General features: G+C 39.7%; 1 protein-coding gene across 1 annotated transcript in view, besides 3 other annotated features; it reads right to left on the bottom strand.

Annotated features, from left to right (window-relative positions):
• The window catches only part of LRRK1 (leucine rich repeat kinase 1), a 158,901-nt gene that overhangs the window by 119,183 nt on the left and 17,443 nt on the right, over positions 1-22,275 (bottom strand). The window lies entirely within an intron of this gene.
• Positions 279-328: an enhancer, noted in NCBI's record as "active region_10179". NCBI's record gives its function as "activates an Ori minimal core promoter by ATAC-STARR-seq in GM12878 lymphoblastoid cells {active_cell/tissue: GM12878}" and the evidence as "EXISTENCE:reporter gene assay evidence [ECO:0000049][PMID:35858748]".
• Positions 17,208-17,357: an enhancer, noted in NCBI's record as "active region_10178". NCBI's record gives its function as "activates an Ori minimal core promoter by ATAC-STARR-seq in GM12878 lymphoblastoid cells {active_cell/tissue: GM12878}" and the evidence as "EXISTENCE:reporter gene assay evidence [ECO:0000049][PMID:35858748]".
• Positions 17,398-17,537: an enhancer, noted in NCBI's record as "active region_10177". NCBI's record gives its function as "activates an Ori minimal core promoter by ATAC-STARR-seq in GM12878 lymphoblastoid cells {active_cell/tissue: GM12878}" and the evidence as "EXISTENCE:reporter gene assay evidence [ECO:0000049][PMID:35858748]".

The raw sequence follows: 22,275 nt of genomic DNA, 5'->3' as shown, positions 1-22,275 counted from the left end.
ACATCCCCCTCCAACCCTTCCCTAAGGTCTGGTCACTTCAGCACAACAGTGGTAGGGTTCATATCAGGTCAAAATGTAAACTCTTTCAAGATAATATGTGGGGGCTTTCCAAGTCATAAAAGTATCTGAGACCTTAGTCATACACACTGCCCAGAAATACATGACTGCAAAACGTTGGCAGGGAAGGAAGTCCCAGAGCACAGAGAGCCCGGGAGAGAAACGGAGAAGTGTGACCACCATGCTGACCCCGCGCTGCTTCCTGGGCCCACCTCCAGGCCCTGCACATTTCCGTCCTCTCCACTTCGGATGGTGGCACCTACTTCAGAGGGGTTATTGTGAGGGTCAAGTGGATGGAAGCACGAGAAGTGCTTAGAACACTGCCTGACCCCGAGAGGCTCTAGATAAATGCTAGCTACTATTATTGTTATTTGAAGTTAAGTTAGAAATTTGGCCCCTCTCTGAAAACTGTGAAGTCTGGGGTTTCTATCTTATTCCTTAGCCATCTGGGATGAATCATGCCTATTCAAATGAATAAGTCAGTGGGTATTGGAATCTTATTTACTTAGCTATGGGTCAAATGTTAGTGAGGCCAAGAAGTGGAAGACAAAAGCCTTGCTTTAGCACCCTTGCTGGGCTTGCTGGGGAGCAGAGGTACAGACGTATCCAAAACACCCAAACATCAACTCCAGACAGGACAGTATATACCAGTGGAAACAGCCATATTCCTGCATGCTGCCCAGCATACAGCTGAAGCTCAATAAATATTCAGTATACATGTTTGTGCCAAAATGAAGGGCCCCAATTGTTTACTCTGATAGTTCCCTTATTTAAAAATGCTGCTTAACCTACTACAGAAAAACAACAAATTAAAAAGGAAGATACAAAGAGAGAAAGAAAAGAACAAAAGAACTACAGAACAGGCTGGGTGTGGGGGTTCATGCCTGTAATCCCAGAACTTTGGGAGGCTAAGGCGGGCAGATCACTTGCGGTCAGGAGTTTGAGACCAGCCTGGCCAACATGGTGAAACCCTGTCACACAAAAATTAGTTGGGTGTGGTGGTGGCTGCCTGTAATCCCAGCTACTCAGGAGGCTGAGGCAGGAGAATCACTTGAACCTGGGAGGCGGAGGTTGCAGTGAGCAGAGATCACGCCACTGCACTCCAGCCAGGGTGACAGAGTGAGACTCCGTCTCAGCAACAACAACAACAGCCAACTACAGAACAATCCGAAAATAATTAAAAAATTGGCAAAAGTATGTCCTTACTTGTCAGTAACTACTTTAAATATAAATGGATTGACTTTTCCAATCAAAAGACACACAGTAGCTGAATAGATTAAAAAATCCAAGAACCAGCAATATGCTACCTATAAGAGATCCACTTTTGCTTTAAACATACACATAGATGGAAAGTGAAGGAATGACAAAAGATATTTCATGCAAATGAAACCAAAAGAGCTAAAGAATGGCGATACTTATACCAGACTGAATAGACTTTCAGTCAAAATCTGTCAGAAGTGACAAAGAAGGTCACTATATAATGATAAAGGGGTCAATTCATTAAAAGAGTGTACTAATTTTAAATATGTATGTACCTAACATTGGAGCACATAAATAAGTAAAGCAAATATTAACAGAACTGAAGGGAGAAATATATAGCAATATAATAATAGTAGGGGACTTCAATACCCTACTTTCAATAATAGATAGATCATCCAGACAGAAAATTAATAAGAAAACAGTGAATTTGAATAATACTATAGACCAAATAGACCTAACAGACATATGCAGAACAATGCCTTCAACAGCGAGAGAATATAATTTTTTCTCAAGCACACGTGGGACATTCCCCAAGAAATGTCATATGTTGGGCCATAAAACAAGTCTTAACATATTTAAGATGATGGAAATATTATCAAGTTTCTTTTCTTATCATAATGGTGTAAAACTAGAAGTCAATAACAAGAAGAAAATGGAAAAATCCACATATATGTGGAAATTAAACCACATACTCCTGAACAACCAATGGGTCATAGAAGAAATCAAAAAGGAAATCAGAAAGTATCTTCAGACAAGTCGAAAAGGAAACACAACATACCAAAACTTACGGGATACAGCAAAAGCAGTTCTAAGATGAAAGTTGACAGCCAGAAATGCCTACATTAAGCAAAAAGAAATATCTTAATTAGACAAACTAACTTTACACTTTAAGGAACTAGAAAAAGAGCAAACTGAGCCCAAAGTTAGAAGAAAGAAAATAAGTATTAGAGCAGAAATAAACGAAATAGAGACTAAATAGATAATAGAAAAGATCAGGCTGGTCATGGTGGCTCACGCCTGCAATCCCAGCACTTTGGGAGGCCAAGGAGTGCAGATCATGGGGTCAGGAGTTCAAGACCAGCCTGGTCAAGATGGTGAAACCCTGTCTCTACTAAAAACACAAAAATTAGCCAGGCGTGGTTGTGGGCGCCTGTAATCCCAGCTACTCAGGAGGCTGAGGCAGAGAGTTGCTTGAACCCGGGAGGTGGAGGCTGCAGTGAGCCAAGATCGTGCCACTGCACTCCAGCCCTCCAGCCTGGGGGTGACAGAGTGAGATTCTGTCTCAAAAAAAAAAAAAAAAAAGAAAAAAAAAAGGAAAGAAAAGCGAAAGTAAGAGTTTTTTTTTTTAATTGACAAATCGTTAGCTAGACTAAGAAAAAAAAGAAAGAGAACTCAAATAAATACAATTATAAATGAAATAGGGGGCATTACAATTGGTATAATAGAAGTACAAAGTATTATGAGACTACTATAACAATTATACACAAACAAATTAGATAACCTGGAAGAAATGGATAAATTCTTAGAAACATACTACCTATCAAAAATAAGTCATACAGAAATAGAAAATCTGAACAGGCCAATAATGAGTAAAGAGACTGAGGAAGTAATCAAAAACCTCCTAACAATAAAAAGCCCAGAATCAGATAGATGGCTTCACAGGTGAATTCTACCAAACGTTTAAAGAAGAGTGAATGCCAGTCCTTCCTAAACTCTTCCAAATATTGAAGACAATAAAGACTTTCGAACTTGTTTTACAAGATTAGCAATACCTCCTACCACAGCCAGATAAAAACACCATAAGAAAAGAAAATTACAGACCAATATCCCTGCTGAACTTAGGTGCAAAAATCCTCAAGAGGATACAGGCAAACTCATTTCAACAGCACATTAAAAAAATCATACACCATTATGAAGTTCAGTTTAAGCCTGGGAAGCAAGGATGGTTCAGCATATGCAAATCAACAGACACGATACACCACATTAACAGAATAAAGGATAAAAATCATATAATGAACTCAATAAATGCAGAAAAAAACATTAGTAAAAATTCAACATCCTTTCAAAATAAAAATTCTCAACAAGTTGGTTATAGCAGGAATGTACTTTAATATCATAAAGGCCATATAAAACAAGCCTACAGCTATGATCATACTTAATGGTGAAAAGCTGAAAGCATTTTCTCCAAGATCAGGAACAAGACAAGTATGCCCACTCTTGCCACTTCTACTAGAAGTCCTAGCCAGAGAAATTAGGTAAGAAAAAGAAATAAAAGACATCCAAATAAGAAAAGAAGAAGTCAATTGGTCTCTGTTTGCAGATGACATGATCTTATATGCAGAAAACCTAAAGACTCCACCAGAAAACTCCTAGAACTAATAAATAAATTCAGTAAAGTTGCAGGACACAAAATCAACATACAAAAAATCATTTGCAGTTCTATACACCAACAATAAGCTTTTAGAAAAAGAAATTAAGAAAACAATCCCTTTTACAATAGCTACAGAAAATACTTAGGAGTAAATTTAACCAAGAAGCAGAAAGATCTATACACTAAAAACTATAAGACATTGATGAAAGAAATTGAAAAAGACACAAATAAATGGAAAGATATCCTGTCTCCATGGATTGGAAGCATTAATACTGTTAAAATGTCCATACTACTCAAAGTGATCCACAGACTCAATGCAATTCCTGTCAAAATTCCAATGGCATTTTTCACAAAAATAGAAAAAAAAATCCTAAAATTTGTATGGAACCACAGACGACCCCCAATTAGCCAAAGCAATCTTGAGAAAGAACATAGCTAGAAGCATCACACTTCCTGATTTAAAACTGTGTTACAAATTATAAGCAAAACAGTATGGTTCTAATTGTATGCATTGGTCTATGTGTTAAAATAGACACATAGGCCAGTGAAACAGAATGGAGAGTCCAGAAATAAATGTATGCATATACAAATAACTAATCTTTGAGAAAGGTGCCTAAAATGCACAATGGAGAAGAATGGCCTTTTCAATAAATAGTGTCGAAAAAAACTGGACATCTACATGCAAGACAATGAAATTGGACCCATATCTTATGCCATGCACAGAAATTAACTAGAAATAAATTAAAGACTTAAAACATATGAAACAGTAAAACTCCTAGGAGAAAACATAGGAAAAAATCTCCTTGACATTATTCTTGGCAATGATCTTTCCTATATGACACTGAAAGTACAGGCAACCAAAGCACAAATAAACAAATGGGATTACATCAAACTAAAAACCACAGCAAAGGAAACAATCAACAAAATGAAAAGGCAACCTATGGAATGAGAGAAAATATTGCAAACCATATATCTGATAAGGGGTTAATATTCAAAATGTGTAAAGAACCCATATGATTTAATAGCAAAAAAAGCTAAATAACTTGATTTTTAAAATGGGCAAAGGACCTGAATAAAAATTTTCCGAAGAAGACATACAAATGACCAAAGGTATAGGAAAAGGTTGTCGGCACGTCTAATCATCAGGGAAATGGAAATTAAAAACATGAGTTAGGCCGGGCACGGTGACTCACACCTGTAATCCCAGCACTTTGGGAGGCCGAGGCGGGCAGATCACGAGGTCAGGAGTTCGAGACCAGCCTGGCCAATATGATGAAACCTCATTTCTACTAAAAATACAAAAATTAGCCAGGCGTGGTGGTGTGTGCCTGTAGACCCAGGTACTGGTGAGGCTGAGGCAGAAGAATTGCTTGAACCTGGGAGACAGAGGTTGCAGTGAGCCGAGATTGTGCCACTGCCCTCCAGCCTGGGGGACACAGTGAGACTGTGTCTCAAACAACAACAACAACAAAACAAACAAACAAACAAAAAAACCTATGTGTTATTACCTCACACCTGTTAGGGTGATTATTATAAAAAAGACAAGGATAACACATGTTGACAAGGAGAAGGGAACACTCATACAGTGTTGCTGGGAATGTAAGGTAGCAGCCATTATGGGAAAAAGTATGAAGGCTCCTCAAAAAATTAAAAATAGAACTACCCTATGATTCAGAAATCCCACTGCTGGGTATTTACCCAAAGGAAAGGAAATCAGTATCTCGAAGAGATATCTGTAACCCCATATTAACGGTATGTAGCATTATTCACAAGAGCCAAGATATGGAAACAACCTGTGTCCTTTGACAGATGGAGAGAGAAAATATGGCTTATATACATATACATATGTGTGTATATATATATATATATATATATATAGACACACACATACACACACACAATGGAATACTATACAACCTTTAAAAGGAAGTAAATTCTGTCATTTGCAACATGGGTGAACCTGGAGAACATTATGCTAAGTGAAATAGGCCAGACACAGAAGACAAATACTCTATGATCTCACTTATATGTGGAATCTTAAAAAGTCCAAATTAAAGAAGCCGAGAGTGAATGGTGGTTGCCAAGAGCTGGGGCATGGGAGAAATAGGGAGGTGTTGGTTGAAGGGTACAAACTTTTAGTTATAAGATGAGTAAGTTCGGGGATCTAATGTACAGCCTGTTGAGTATATAGTTAATAATACTGAATTGTATACTTGAAATTTACTAAAAGAGTAGATCTTAAGTGTTGTTAATACACACGGGCACACAAAGGTAATTATGTGAAATGGTAGATGTGTTCATTAACTTGATTATGCTCATCATTTTGCAACATTTATGTATATCAAATAATCACATTATATACATGAAATATATAATTTTTATTTGGCAATTATACCTCAATAAAACTGTAAAGTAAGTGAATAAAAATGCTGCTTAATGAGATTAGCCAACATTCAAATGAGTGGCCCTAGAGTTAATTTTGGTCAATAGATTCTGTTAAAAGATCTTGCTTAAAGCATAAGGAATGCCCAGTAATATTCCCAAGTAAGATGTAAGCTTTATGACGCAGACTTAAAACCTGGAGGCAGCCGAGTTAATTGTCTGGTTAATCACCATAAAAATCACTGATGGGAATGATTACTGTGATAAAACGTGGATGTACCTGAAAGCCTGACAAGCATTTGATACCATTTCCAGGGAAAGGTATGCTGGGATTGAATGCTGTCTCCATCAGAGGAAAGAGTGGGCCAGGGCAGGAGTCAGGTCCTGTGAGAAGGGCCCCACAAAGAAGAGTGGGCTAATCAATGGTGTTTGTCCAACTGGATAGCCACATGGAAAAATATATGATCAGATCCGTTACTCCCGTGAAACACCAAGATAATTCCAAATGAATTAGAGATATAATGTAAAAAAATAAAACGATGTAGGCATTAGAAGAAAACACAGGCAAATTCCTTTTTAGCCTGGGAGTGTATAACCCCTTTAACTGTGGCTCACAACCCAGAAGTAATAAAAGATGGATACATCGGTCACATTTAAAAGATCACAGCTTTATTGAGAGATAATTCACGTATCATAAAATTCACCATTTAAAAGTGTACAATTCAGTGGGTTTGAATATATTCACAGAGTTGTGTAACTATCACCGCTTTCTAATTTTAAAACATTTGTACCACCCTGCAAATATACGCTTATACCAGTCAGTTCCCACTTCCTCCTCCAGGTCCCTGCCAACCACTAATCTACTTTCTATCTCTACAGTTTGCCTCTTCTGAACATGTCATATACGTGGAATAATACAATATGGTTTTTGTGACTTAGTTCTTTCACTCAGCATGTTTTCAAGACTTATTCATGTTGTAGCATATATTAGTACTTACTCTTAATAATACTATTATTTTATTATTATTATTATTATTATTTTTTTTTTTCTGAGATGGAGTTTCGCTCTTGTTGCCCAAGTGGGAGTGCAATGGTGCGATCTCAGCTCACTTGCAACCTCTGCCTCCCGCGTTCAAGCCATTCTCCTGCCTCAGCCTCCTAAGTAGCTGGGATTACAGACGCATGCCACCATGCCTGGCTAATATTTGTATTTTTAGTAGAAACAGGATTTCACCATGTTGGCCAGGCTGGTCTCAAACTCCTGACCTGAGATGATCCACCTGTCTCGGCCTCCCAAAGTGCTGGGATTACAGGTGTGAGCCACTATGCCCGGCCTTATTATTTAATTATTAAGTATTAATTCATACTTGCTAGTAATGCTATTATTTCCTTGCTATTGCTGCGTAATATTCCACTGTATGAATAGACCACATTTGTTTATTTATTCATCAGCTGATGGGAGCTTGGGTTTTTCCACTTTTTGGTTATTAGGAATAATGCTACCGTGATCACTTATGTGCAAGTTTTTCTGTGAATATCTGCCCTCAGTTCTCTTGTGTATATACTCAGGAGTGGAATTGCTGGGTCATATGGTAATTGCATGTTCAAAATGTTGAGAAACTGCCAAACCATTTTCCAAACTGCCTGCAGCATGTTCCAGTCCCACCTTCAATGAATGAACGCTCCAATTTCTCCATATCCTGACTACCGCTTGCCATTTTCCATCTGTCTTTCTGTTGTCCTTTCTGTTGGGTGTGAAGTGGTATCTCATGGTGGTTTTGCTTCGCATTTCCATAATGATTAATGATGTTGAGCATCTTTTCATGTGCTGATTGGCCATTTTCACATCTTCTTTGGATAAATGTCTATTTAGTCTGTTTAGACCCTTTGCTCTTTTTTTCTGAGACGGAGTCTCACTCTGTAGCCCAGGCTGGAGTGCGGTGGCGCAACCTCTGCTCCCTGCAAGCTCCGCCTCCCGGGTTCACGCCATTCTCCTGCCTCAGCCTCCCAAATAGCTGGGACTACAGGCGCCCGCCACCACGCCCGGCTAATTTTTTGTATTTTTAGTAGAGATGGCGTTTCACCGTGTTAGCCAGGATGGTCTCGATCTCCTGACCTCGTGATCTGCCCGCCTTGGCCTCCCAAAGTGCTGGGATGACAGGCGCGAGCCACCGCGCCCGGCCTGCTCTTTTTTAAATTGGGTTGTTTTTTTGTTGCTGAATTGTGAGAGTTCTTTATATAATCAGATACAAGTCCTTTAAAGATAAATAATTTGGAAATATTTTCTCCCATTTCACAGGTTCTTTTCACTTTCTTGATTATGTCTATTGAAGAACAAAAATTTTTAACTGATGAAGTCCAACTTACTACCTATTTTTCCTTTTGTCGCTTGTGTTTTTGGTGTAGTATCTGAGAAACTATTGCCTAATCCAAGGTCATAAAGATTTAATCCTGTTTTCTTTTAAGAGTTTTATAGGTTTAGCCATTCTCTTGTATTTTATTTGAATATTAGAATCATCTTGCCATTTTTGTAAGAATTTCAGCTAGGATTTTAAAGAGACTGCATTGAATGCATAAGTCAATTTGGGGAGTATTGCCATCTTACCATTATTAAGTCTTCCAATCCATGAATACAGAATGTTTTTTCATTTATTCAGGTTCTTTTTAACTTCTTTCCACAATGTTTTGCAGTTTTTGGTGTATAAATCTTACGCTTCTTTTGTTACATTTATTCCCAAATTTTTTATTCTTTTGGATACTATTGTAAATGTGTTTTCTTAATTAAATTTTCAGATTGTTAAGTGATAATTCATACAACCACAATTGATTTTTACATTTTGATCTTGCATCCTGCAAATTTGCTGAACTATTAGTTCTAATTGTCTTTTGTGTGTTGTTTAGAATATTCTACGTACAGTATGATGTCACCGGAAAATATAGTTTTACCTCTCCAATTTGGATTTCATTTCTTTTTCTTGTCTTTGCCCTGGCAAGAACCTCCAGTGTAATGTTGAATAGAAGTAGTGAGAGTGGACATCCTTGTTTTGTTCCTGATGTTAGGGAGAAAGCAGTCAGTCTTTCACTATTAAGTATGATGTTAGTTATGGGTTTTTTTTTTGTTAACAGATGCAGTTTATCAGATTGAGGAAGTTTCCTTCTATTACTAGTTTACTGAGTGTTTCTCATCAAAGGGTAGTGAATTTTGTTAAATGCTTTTCTGTGTCTATTGAGATGATCATATATTTTTTCTCCTTTATTCTATTAATATGGATTATTATATTGATTGATGTTAAACCAAGCTTGGAATCCTAAGATAAATTCCACTTGGTCATGGCGTATAATCCTTTTTATGTGTTACTAAATTCGGTTTGCTAGTGTCTTGTTGAGATTTTGCATCTATATTTGAAAGAGGTAGTGGTCTGTAGTTTTCCTGTGAGATCTTTTTCTGGTTTTGGCTTCAGGGTAATACTGGTTTCATAGACTGAATTGGGAAGTATTCTTCCATATTTTATTGTTTGGAAGAGTTTGTGAAGTTGATGTTAACTCTTCTTTAAATGTTTGGTAGAATTCACCAGTGAAACTATCTGGGCCTGGCTTTTCTTTGTGGGGAATTACTTATTTATTTATTACTAATTCAGTCTCTCTACTTGTTTTAAGTGTAATTAGATTTTCTACTTCTTCTTGAGTCAGTTTGGATAGTTTGTGTCTTTCTAGGACTTTATTTCATCTAGGTTATTGAATTTGTTGGTGCAAATTGTTCACAGTATTTTCCTATAATCTTTTTTTATTTCTATAAGGTTGCCAGCGATGTTCCTCTTTCATTCCTGATCTTGGTAATTTGAGCCTTCTCCTTTTTATTTTTAAGGTCATTCTAACTAAAGGTTTGTCAACAAAAATCGTTGGTTTTTTCAAAGAACTAACTTTTGATTTCACTGATTTTCCCTACTGCTTTTATATTCTCTATTTTATTTTTTTCTGCTCTAATTTTTGTTATTTCCTTCCTTCTACTTGCTTTCGGTTTAGTCTATTCTTTTTCTAGTTTCTTAAGGTGGAAGTTTAGGTTATTGATTTGAGATCTTTCTTCTTTTTTACATATAGGTAGCTGCTGCTATAAATTTTACTCTGAGCACTGCTTTAGCTGTATCCCTTAAGTGTTAGCGTGATGTGTTTTTGTTTTAATTCATCGCAAAGTATATTCTGTTTTTTTGTGATTTCTTCTTTAACACATTCGTTCTTTAATAGTGTGTTGTTTAATTTCTACATATTTGTGAATTTCCCAAATTTCTTTCTGTTATTGATTTCTAACTTCTTTCTATTGTGGTCACCGAATATATTTTGTATGATTTCCATTCTTTTACATTTATGGAGGCTTGTTTTATGGCCAAACATAACATTTAAACATATAAGGATAAAAACTCCAACTCCACATCTCAAAACACAGAAACAAGGTAAAAAGACAAATGGCGACTTAGAAAAAAAAATTTGCAACGTATAGACAAAGGGTTAATATGAGGAAACAAACATGCTCTTTAATTGGTGGAGAGAATGCAAAATGGTACAACCCACAGGGAGGGGAATTTACCAATACTTAGCAAAACTACATCCCTTTCATGACCTCCGTGCATTCATAAGTCACATTCAAACGGCGGGGACGAAACCCATGAGGAGGTGTCCCATCTGGCCGCCTCTGCCTCCTCCTTTACCCTAAGGAAGTCCAAGTGCACCTTCCTGGTGCTGGGCAGGCAGGGAAGGGGTGCCGAGGGGCTGAGGTGTCTGCATTGGAAAGGGCAGATGTGGAGGAAGACAGACTCAGAAACAGAAACCTACATGCATAACAAGACAAGCTGGCTTTGGGGGTAGCACCTGGGAGCTTTCTTGAGAGAACGAGGTTTAAGATTGATGACAGAGACTGTATTTTGTGAGCTTTTTGGGAAGAGCTGGGCAAAGGAGTTCAGCAGTGTGTCTGTGTGCTTTCAGTGGAATTCCCCGTGGATGCCTTGTCAAGCAACTGTCTTAAAGACTTCAGCTGCTTGTTGATTTTAAGATTCCAGGCTGGAGTTTCCTTTGAATACATCACTGTGCAGACAAAGGTCATGGAGCAGCTCACGTTTCCCTGGATCTCACATAAATATTCATTTCTCCTCCTCTACTTTTTTAACAAATGGATTATACGATAATCATGTTCTGCATCTTGTTTTTCCTGCTTGAAAGTTCTTCTGCATAGGCACATGGAGATCTAGCACACTCTTCTTCATGATAGCTTCCTGTCTTCATGGATGAACATTTAGGGCATTTCCAGTTTTTCCTTAGTCTCTGCAATGCTGACATAAACATCCTGGGAAATGCATATGCGTTTCTGCCCACGTAGCAACTATAAAATCTCCAGCAGCGGAAGGAGCAGAGGATATACTCAGTCCTAATTTTAATAAATATTGCCAATTTCTGCTCAATAAGTTCTTTTCAAGATAGCCTCAATTATTAACTCCAATATTGAGTTAAAATATTGAGAATAAAAAATATATATAAAGTAGAACAAAACGATAGTCTTACTACATTAAATAATACCAAACTTTCTGATTTTTCCAATCTGTAAAACAGAATAAGATATCTCATAATTGGTTTTCATTTGCATTTCTTTCCATAGGAATGGGCACAGTGTATTTTCTATGTTTATCAATTGTTTCTATTTTTTTCTATTAACTAAATTAAACTGCCTAATCCTGTGTTTTGTTTGATTTGAAAACTGGAGCCTGGGCATGGTGGCTCACACCTGTAATCCCAGCACTTTGGGAGGCCGAGGCGGGCGGATCACGAGGTCAGGAGATGGAGACCATCTTGGCCAACATGGTGAAACCCCGCCTCTACTAAAATACAAAAAAATTAGCCAGTTATGGTGGTGCGGGCCTGTAATCCCAGCTGAGGCAGAGGAATCGCTTGAAGCTGGGAGGCGGAGGTTGCAGTGAGCTGAGATCGTGACACTGCACTCCAGCCTGGTGACAGAGCAGGACTCCGTCTCAAAAAAAAAGAAAAAGAAAAAAGAAAGAAAGAAAATTGGAATGTTCTTTTTGTTAATGCTCTTTGCAAATGAAGGAAAAGAGCTCTTTGGAATCTGTGTTGAAAATAGTTTTCTACCTATTCGTTGACTGGCACTTAAGAAGGGCTTTGCTACTGAATAGTTCTAATTGGTATGTTGTTCAACATTCATTCAAGTTCTCCTAAATTTATGATGTCTAGGTTTGGTGCTGTGCTTAGAAAAATATCCTTTACTCCAAAACTGTTTAGTTTCATCATTTTCCTAGACTTTTAGTGGTGTTGATTTTTATGCTTAAGACATCTAGCGTTATTTGTTACAGCACATATTAGGAATCGCCCAAATGCCCGTGAAGAGGAGACTGCCTGTATAGCTGAGTTGCATCCATGCTATAGATTTGATCCATCTGAAAATGATGTTGGAGTGGGAGTGAGAAAGCAATATGTTACCCCTATGCTATTCCCAAATAAACCTTTCCTGGACTAATTATAATTCTAACTAGCAAGGCAAAATCAATGTGCATTTTGGCCTATTTTCAGATTGCCACACTGTTCCATTGCTTTCTCTGTGCATTGTCTCGCTAGTCTCCAACCCCAGTCATTATGGTGGCATTGGAATAAATTTTAGCATACGCTGCAACTAATCTCCTCCCCTCCTCTCACCCCATCCCCTCCCCACCTGAACTTTCCTGTATTCTCATAGGTTTATTTCTCTAGGTAAAATTTATTATACTTTTTCCATGTTCCAAAAAGAAATCCTGTTTGTATTCTAATTGAGAATGCATTAAATGATAGGATCAATTTGTGGAGAATTGATATATTTACAATATTAAGTCCTCCTACACAAGAAGATGATATGTTATTTTTCTTACTCAAATATCCTTTATGTCAAGAGTTTAAGGTGTTCTTAGGTAGGCCTGATATATTTACCGCTATTTCCCCTAAGTATTTTATATTTAACATATTCATTTAATAATTAAGAGAAAAAAGCAGCGTATTTCCTCTATAGCCTCTTTGAATATTCAAAGTTTTCATTTCAGTTTTCTGTGTTCTTAGATAGATCTTGATAGAGCATCTAATTATAGGTTAACAACGAATAGATACCGTGCCGACACTAACAGCGCCTAGAAATTGATAAGGAAAATCAGAGTTCCTCAAAAATTGATTAATAAAGAATATGAAGGCTGGGCACTGTGGCTCATGCCTGTAATCCCAGCACTTTGGGAAGCCGAGGCAGGTGGATCACCTGAGATTAGGAGTTTGAGACCAGCCTGGCCAACATGGTGAAACCCCTTCTTTTCTAAAAATACAAAAATTAGCCAGTGTGTTGGTGGGCGCCTGTGATCCCAGCTACTCGGGAGGCTGAGGCAGGATAATCATTTGAACCCAGGAGGCGGAGGTTGCAGTGAGCCGAGGTTGTGCCATTGCACTCCAGCCTGAGTGACAGAGCAAGACTCTGTCAAAAAAAAAAAAAAAAAAAAAAAAAAAAAAAGAGGCTCTGCAGAGATAGTTTTTAAAAAAGTAAATATAGCTACTTCTTACGCATGCTAAAACATGCTTGGTCACACTCATCGTAAGAGAAGTGCATATTCTAACTAGGCTGAGGTACCATTTTTCACATATCACATTAGGAAAAAGCAAACATTTGGTAATAAATACTTGTCAGCCACTGGGAAACAGACACGCACACATGTTTTCAGGGATTGGGGCATAAACAGGAAAAACTCTCCTGAAGGGCTGCTTAGCAACATCTGTCAGATTTTTCGAAGCATATATGCCCCGTGACCCATCACTTTGGGAATGTGTTGTATAGATGAGCTTCTATACATGGGAACAGACATCTGGCATTATTTGTTACAGCACATGTTAGGAATCGCCCAAATGCCCGTGAAGAGGAGACCGCCTGTATAACTGAGTTGCATCCATGTCACAGAACACTATGCAGTTGACTAAAAGGAGGCCAATGACACCCTTAATGTGTGAAAGAAACAGGCAAGGCACAGAACAGCATCTGCGATCAGCTACATTTTGTGTAAAAGAGGGGAAAAATCAGACTCTATCTTTGTTTTGCTTCTTTACTTATAAAAAAGATTCTGGAAGGATGTAAGAATCTCAGGATTGTAGATCGATACTTATGATTTTTGAACCATAAGACCGTATGACATTTTCAAACAACTAAAGTTTTAACATATTGGCAAGGGAACAAATATGAGGTCATGTTTTCTTCCTTTTCCTCTGCATGTCTTCCAGGCTGAGATATATACCCTCAAGTTCAAACAACAGAAATTGACTCCAGCTGATTTGTCTCAATACTAGGACTGCCATCTGCCTTCCAAACACAAAAGCAAGCACACAAAATAGAAGCAAAAAAGCCAAGATCAGGAGTCCTCCGTAGCTGGTAGAATTGTAGGCTGGTGTCTATCATGTGAGGATTTGAGGTGAACCCAGTGAGTGATTACAGTGTAGCCTCCGAAAGGTTAAAGCAAATGCCACAAACCCATCCTTGTAAAAGATAATGCTGAACAGAAGTGAAAGCTTGCCTACCCCACCCCTTCGACCTAAGATACAAACTCTGAGAAGATCCTCAGTCTGCAGCGAGAGTTAACATTTCCTGGGTGCTGCACTGCTCTGCAGCTGGGTTTTTGGTGCATAGCTGAGTTAGATCAATGCTGCGCTGTGGTTGTTGCAGTCACAGATCTTTTTCCTGGATGGAGAAGCCTGCTTGTGTATGGTGCAAACTACTTCCATTTAGTACAAGCTCTGGCTGAACAACAATAGGTCTCCTCCTTTTTTTCATGAGCAATATCCTGATATTAAAGCAAGAAGCTCCATGATTCCTCAGCAACTGAAACACTCTGAGAATGTCTGGGCCCCACTGTGAGGCCCCATGCCCACCCAAACCTCACTAACAGCCCCGCTTCATGATTTTTCTCTGACCTGTGTTCAAGGCATTCATTATGAATGGCTGGAGGCTGAACATTTAAGATAAGGGATCACGACCGGGTGTGGTGGCTCACACCTGTAATCCCAGCACTTTGGGAGGCCGAGGTGGGCAGGTCACCTGAGGTCAGGAGTTCGAGACCAGCCTGACTAACATGGTGAAACCCTGTCTCTACCAAAAATACAAAAATTAGCTGGGCATACTGGTGGGCGCCTGTAATCCCAGCTGCTTGGGAGGCTGAGGCAGGAGAATCGCTTGAACCCAGGAGGCGGATGTTGCAGTGAGCCGAGATCACACCATCGCACTCCTGCCTGAGTGACAAAAAAAAAAAAAAGATACGATCACTTGCAAACAAATGATCACAAAAATGCCAAGAACTGAGGAGGAACTAAACTTATTTTTAGCTTAAAAAAAAAAAAAGAACCAAGTAAAAAGGGACATTATCTAAGATCCAATTCAGTAAGTTTCTGATAGTTTATCTTTGTAACTTCCTAAAGCTACTGCTTGTTTATTTAAATTTTTAGAAATCATATGGCAATAACAACAAAGATAGAAATTTGTTGTTTTGTAGAAATTTGGGGGAGAAAGTGAGAATAGAAACATTATTTTGTAAAGGCAGTGAGTAAATATTCAAAGGAAACACTTAGGTTAATTCATTTAACCCCATCAGATGCTAGTATTAGCTCTGCTTACAGATAAAGAAAGAGGTCCCCAGAGAGTCAGTGACTTGCCCAAGGGAGGGGGCAGAATTTCCACTCTAAATCACTGAATTAATTTTTATTAAAAAGGCAGAAAACAATGACTCAGCAAGCTGTTACACCCCCTTGGAGTAAAACAGAAAGATTAAAATTACACTTGAAGGAAAGGCAGGCCATCTTGTCCCTATTTTAAGAAAGTGAAATAATTCACTTTACATAGACTGTTGCCTTAGGCCCAGGAGTCTTTATATAAGATCCCAATTTGGAACATACCAAGACAGTTTGTGCATATTTTTATTAAGTCACTTCTGAGTTACTCTGTGAAAACCGGGAAAAAAGCACCTTCCAAACTTGTTGAAAAGGGATGGCCAGCACTACGGGTTGATCAGTAAGCACTGGCGGATGGAGAACCCTGGGAGTTGTTCAGCATGGACATGGAGGCCGTCTCCGGGTGAGTGCACACCCCACCCGCCCACTGTGAGCAGAGAGGCCTCATGAGGACCCAAGGCTGCTACCAACAGAACCAGAGGGGGACTCCGGGCACCCATCGTCAGCCTTGCTTACTCCGTGAATTGTCGAACTTCACACTGTACCAGTTTTCTTCAGTGAGACATACAGGTTTTGTAATTTGGAAAAAAAAGAAAAGAAAAAGCATTCTGAAGATAAGGCAAGGAAAGATTTGGACTTTAATTGAAACATTTTAATTTAAAATGTTAATTAAACAGCTTTAATTTTGATGATTAGATTTGAGGGTCATCACACTTTCGTGTACACACATTTGGAAATGAAGACTGGCCACATTTTAAATCCATGTCTTCCATAACTGTGAGCCATGCCTTCTCTAGCTTAGAGCCAAATAAAATCGGACTCACCATTTTGTAAGGACCCTACTTTTTAATCATTGTAATATTATTATCATTTTCCCTAATAGAAATAGAGTCCAGTTGAGGCTACATAATTTGCCCAACAGAGAAAGAGAAAAAGAACAGGCCATTTTTTTTGAGGGTCTGCCTAGCATGTGCACTTAGTATGGTGCTAACCATTCCGCAAACAGATTCTAACCCTGCCCCTGTCACAGATAGGACTAGCTGTGGAAGCATCAGGATTTGAACCCGGTTCCTTCCGACTGTAGAGCCGGTTCTTGACATTCTCACTCAGTATTTCCTGCAAGTGCACACCTTGGAGATGCCCAGGAGACGCTGGAAGATGAGATCAAGACAGTAGGCTGAGCCCGGCTGCAGCCACCACCTCCTGCTCCAAATCCTTAGAAATTATTACAAATATCAACAAGCCTTATTAGCATGGGAAAAGAAGTGACCTGAGAAGACCGGAATCCACTGTGCGTGAGGTGGAGAAGGCTTGGGAGAGCTCCGAGGCTGCTGGGGGACATGGGAAGCAAGAGGGTCCCCAGGTCACCAGCAGGGCGACTGGGAGGAGTGGGGAGCCATAGTGGGCAGACTCCTGTGGATCTGGCCCCTCTCCAGCTTGTGCCAGGCAGCCTGGGACTGATGGGTCTACACTCGATGTGGGCTAAAGAGAAAGTGTGCTGGGCAACTCCCAGGAGGCACACGGAGCCCACCACCCGGAAGCCATGCTCTGGATGTCCCCAAGGCAGCCTGCTACAGTCCCCTGGCCCTCCTCTTCGCAGGCTATTGTGACAAATGCTGTGTTCACAGACAGCTACGGGGAATCCCGAGCAGAACAGTCAGCATCCACCCAGGCACCCGCAAGCATCTGAGGAAGAGCAGCGCCATAAAGAGAAGCACGAAACTCCTCTAACCAAGCCAGCACACAGGCAGGCCACCGATCAGCAGGAAGAGACATCCCACCTTACACACACACACACACACACACACACACACACACACACAGAGACATAGACACACACAGACACACACACACACACAGACACACACACACACAGAGACACACACAGACACACACAGAGACACAGACACACACATACAGGCACACACACACACACACAAAGACACACACAGAGACACAGACACACACACACAGACACACACACATAGACACACACAGACACACACACGGACACACACAGAGACACAGACACACACACAGACAGACACACACAGACACACACACAGACACATACAGACACACACAGAAACACACATGCACAAAGACACACAGACACACACATAGATATGCAGACACACAGACACACATACAAAGAGACACACACAGACACACACACACAGAAAATATTTATGTTTCCTCTTTATGTAGCCAAGGGCACAGGCTCATTGGAAGCAGTCTGATCACCTAGGGGAGAAGCTGTGTCATATTTCACCACTGTCCCCCTTGGGCCTCAGAGTCCCCAGGAGGAAGTGAGCAGCTGACAGTGACAATGTCTCTGCAAGGCAGGGTCTAGCCAGGTCAGAGGGCCTGCACATCTTGCTGCATCCTCACATTACTGTTCGGGGCAAACCTACACAAATCACACAGTCACTGAGATAAGACAGCTTTGGGCTTTCCTGATTCACAACACAGCTTGGTATTGTCAACTGTTCATCCTTATCTTGGAGGAAAAGACTGAGTTAGCATGGGAGCTTCCCTAAGCAGAATCTCAGGCTCCAGCTTTCCAGCACCTCCAGGGCCCCTCTCTACACAGAATTAATGTTAGCAGAGCGAGAATGAATTCAGAATAAATATTACTGATGTCTTGGAGAGAAACAGGAGGATGCAGCATCCACAAACAAGAATCAACTAAAACTCTTGGGAATTAAAACGAGAAGAGTTGCACTGTGAAGCACAGTGGGTGAGCTGCAGAGCAGAGACACCGTTGAAGGACAAATCAGGAATCTGGAAGACCAAGAGGAGGATGCAGCACCAAAAGACAAGGAGGCCGGGAGCAGAGATAAAAGAGTGAGAGACATTGAAGATATTTTTTGAAGTTTTTCAAAATGTGTCTAATGAGAGTTTCAGAAACATATACTTAAATAAATAAGAATAATTTTCAAGTTGCAAAAATATGAGTCCTCAGAAGTGACAGGATACTAGTCAAGAAGAGTAAATTTAGAAAAAAGAAGAATGAAGGACTAGTGAAATAAACAATCTTATGGAAAGACTGATCAACAACAAAATGAGAGAGAGAGAGAGAGCAGGACATGTGAGAACACAAAAGCATTATCTGAAACAAAGAGATAAAACTATATTAGAGAACTTAAAATCATGGCATCATCAGCAAAGGACACAGGGATTCTTGGAGAAACAGTGCATCGTGCATCCGGGGCAGGATATGGACAATCTGGCCCTGGATGTCTTGTCACATCAGAAAGCAAGGAAGTTATCAAAGACTTCTGGGGTCATGCCAAAAGATAGAGGAACCTACTCAGGGGGCCTACTGGCAAAAGAGGAACAGCGTTAGCATCAAGAATCAAATAAATTAAAATTCATGAGTTCATAATGATACTAAGGAAAAAAAACCCCACCTTCATTGGCCGCCTTCAAAAGGTGCTAGGGAATTGACTTATTTTCAGTAGAATGAATAAGAAAACTAAGAGAAAAAAACCCAACTATTTACCCCGACTTTGCTGTACAAACTGTAACTCAGGGTACCACAGAGTTAATGGAAGAAATTTCTTCTTTAGAGATCACTTTCAGCTGATAAATGAAGAAGGTAAGATAGACTTAAAATAACACCACTTTGCAACCTCAAATTAAATAATTGATCTAAGCAACCATCAATGACTGATAAAACCATTGTGTGAAAAGTCGAAAAACCATTAGGACGTTTATAAAGAGTGATTGCGCTGACACCACTGAAAATCATTAAAAAACTCTAAACATCAGAGAGAGACAATTAGACATTCTGTGACTAGGTGATGCAGGAGGAAGAACCCACCATCTATTGGGCATTTTTGCCAAAACATCTTACTAAATCTAATCAGGCCTCTGGATCTACAAAAACATAGGGAAGGTGGGAACATGTCAGGCCACACATAGAAATGCAATTGCCAAAAATCCAGACTGTGGAAAATTGCAAAGGACAAACAATATGGCTTTATCAACAAAAGAAACTGCAATGAAAAAGAAATTGAGGGAGAAAGATAGAAATTAAGAGACTTAGGAACTGTACTGTCCCATGTCCCAGCATGCAAGGGCACTGACTCAACAAACCTGCCCCAAACAAACCAGTGATAAAAACAGAGACAATGCAGGACATTTGAACACTGACTAGATATTTGATATTTTGACTTTTTTATTTATTTTGAGATGGAGTTTCACTCTTGTTGCCCAGGCTGGAGTGCAATGGCATGATCTGGGCTCACTGTAACGTCCATCTCCTGGGTTCAAGCGATTCTCCTGTCTCAGTCTCCCGAGTAGCTGGGATTACAGGTGCCCGCCACCATGCCTCGCTAGTTTTTTGTATTTTTAGTAGAGATGGGGTTTCTCCATGTTAGTCAGGTTGGTCCCAAACTCCTGACCTCAGGTGATCCACCCACCTCAGCCTCCTAAAGTCCTAGGATTACAGGCATGAGCCACCACACCCGGCCCTCTCCAGCCAAGGGTCCAGCCTGGGTCTCCCCTCTCAGAAGCCTAGCCTGTCAACAGCATGCTATTGTGGGCATACATTAACATACACTTTTAAACATACATTTAAACGTATGTTAAATGTATTTTGTTTTTTCTTTTCTAGACTTCTTAAGCTATAAGTATGGAATTGGGTTCTAAATCATCTGGAAAGAGAGAGAAGGGGGTTTACATGGATGCAGATTGGCCATGTGGGGGAAGGAGGGAGGATGGCAGAAGGTGGGTTACCTGCATGGGAGGAGTAAGTTCCAGTGCACCAGAGCACTGGAGGGGGAATCGAGTTAACAATAGTTTGTGGTCTGTTTTCAAAAAGCTAGAAGAGTGGCTTTTGCATGTTCCCAACACCAAGAAATGAAAAATGTTTGCGGTGATAGATATGCTAATTATCCTTATTTGATCATTACACATTGTATACATGTATCCAAGTATCACTCTGTATCCCATAGACAAGCACAATTATTACATGTCAACTAAAAACAAGAGGGTTAAAAAAAAGATTGCCCATGTGTGATAATTACTGAAATTGGGTAATGGGTACAAAGGGGTGCATTTTAATATTCTCTCTACTTGTGTACTGTGTTCAAAAGTTTCTGTAATAAAAAATTTTAAAAAGTGGCCGGGTGTGGTGGCTCACATCTGTAATCCCAGCACCTTGGGAGGCTGAGGCAAGTGGATTGCTTGAGCTCAGGAGTTCGAGACCAACCTGGGCAACATGGTGAACCCCCATCTCTACAAAAAAAAAAAAAATACAAAAATTAGCCAAGCATGGTGGTGTGCGCCTGTAGTCCCAGCTACTTAGGAGGATGAGGTAGGAGGATCGCTAAAGCCCAGGCTGTCAAGGCTGTAGTGAGCCGAGAGGTCGCCACTGCACTCCTGCTTGGGTGACAGAGTGAGACCCTGTCTCTAAGTAAGTAAGTAAATAAATAAAGAAATAAATAGGCTGGGCGCAGTGGCTCACGCCGGTAATCCCAGCACTTTGGGAGGCCGAGACGGGCGGATCACGAGGTCAGGAGATCGAGACCATCCTGGCTAACACGGTGAAACCCCGTCTCTACTAAAAATACAAAAAAATTAGCCGGGCGTGGTGGCGGGCGCCTGTAGTCCCAGCTGCTTGGGAGGTGGAGGCAGGAGAATGGCATCAACCTGGGAGGCAGAGCTTGCAGTGAGCTGAGATCGCGCCACTGCACTCCAGCCTGGGGGACAGAGTGAGACTCCGCCTCAAAATAAATAAATAAAATAAAATAATAAATAAATAAATAAACATTTTAAAAAAAGAAATCTAAGACAAAAATATAACATTTTAAAGTTCCACGTAGCTAAAGACTTATGAAAAGAGAAAAATGTGCCATTTTGAGTCCAGGCCTAAAAACTGTGGTTTCTGAGGCCAATAAAAAAGGGGAACTAAATAGTAGCCCTGATTCTTTGGAAGAGACGGCAATTGGTAGTAAGTTTGGGTAGGGGGCGGGAATGGGTACTTTTTATTGTATTCCCTTTTGTACTTCTTTTAAATTGTGTGTAAGTATATGATTCATCTATTAAAAATGAATAAGATAGTTTAAAAATATATTTTAAAATCCTGAACCATTATCAACTTCATGCTAAAATATTCGAAAATCTAGATTAAATGGATAACTATCTAAAAATTGTATTGCATAAAATAACTCAAGAAGAAATAGAACATTTACATAAACCTATAACCTTTAAAGACAGAGAATCAATAGTGAGACATCTACCCATTAAAAAGCACCAGGCCTGTATGGTTTTATAGGCAAAGTGATGTATTCTGCTTCTTGGAAAATATAGGACATACTTATATTATCAAACTTATGTTGGTTGAAGAAGCAAGATGCAAAAAGACTGGCATAGTATGAAAATATTTAATCCAACATTTTTAGTATGGAAACTGTTCTGAAAGGAGCAGGATTGACAAAACAGGACTCTGGTTACCCCATCCCTACCACAGCTGGACAATG

Source organism: Homo sapiens, chromosome 15 (assembly GCF_000001405.40).
Source record: "Homo sapiens chromosome 15, GRCh38.p14 Primary Assembly".
Taxonomy (NCBI): Eukaryota; Metazoa; Chordata; class Mammalia; order Primates; family Hominidae; genus Homo; species Homo sapiens.
Note: the sequence above shows the minus strand (reverse complement) of the source record. Positions and strands in the feature narration are given on the sequence as shown.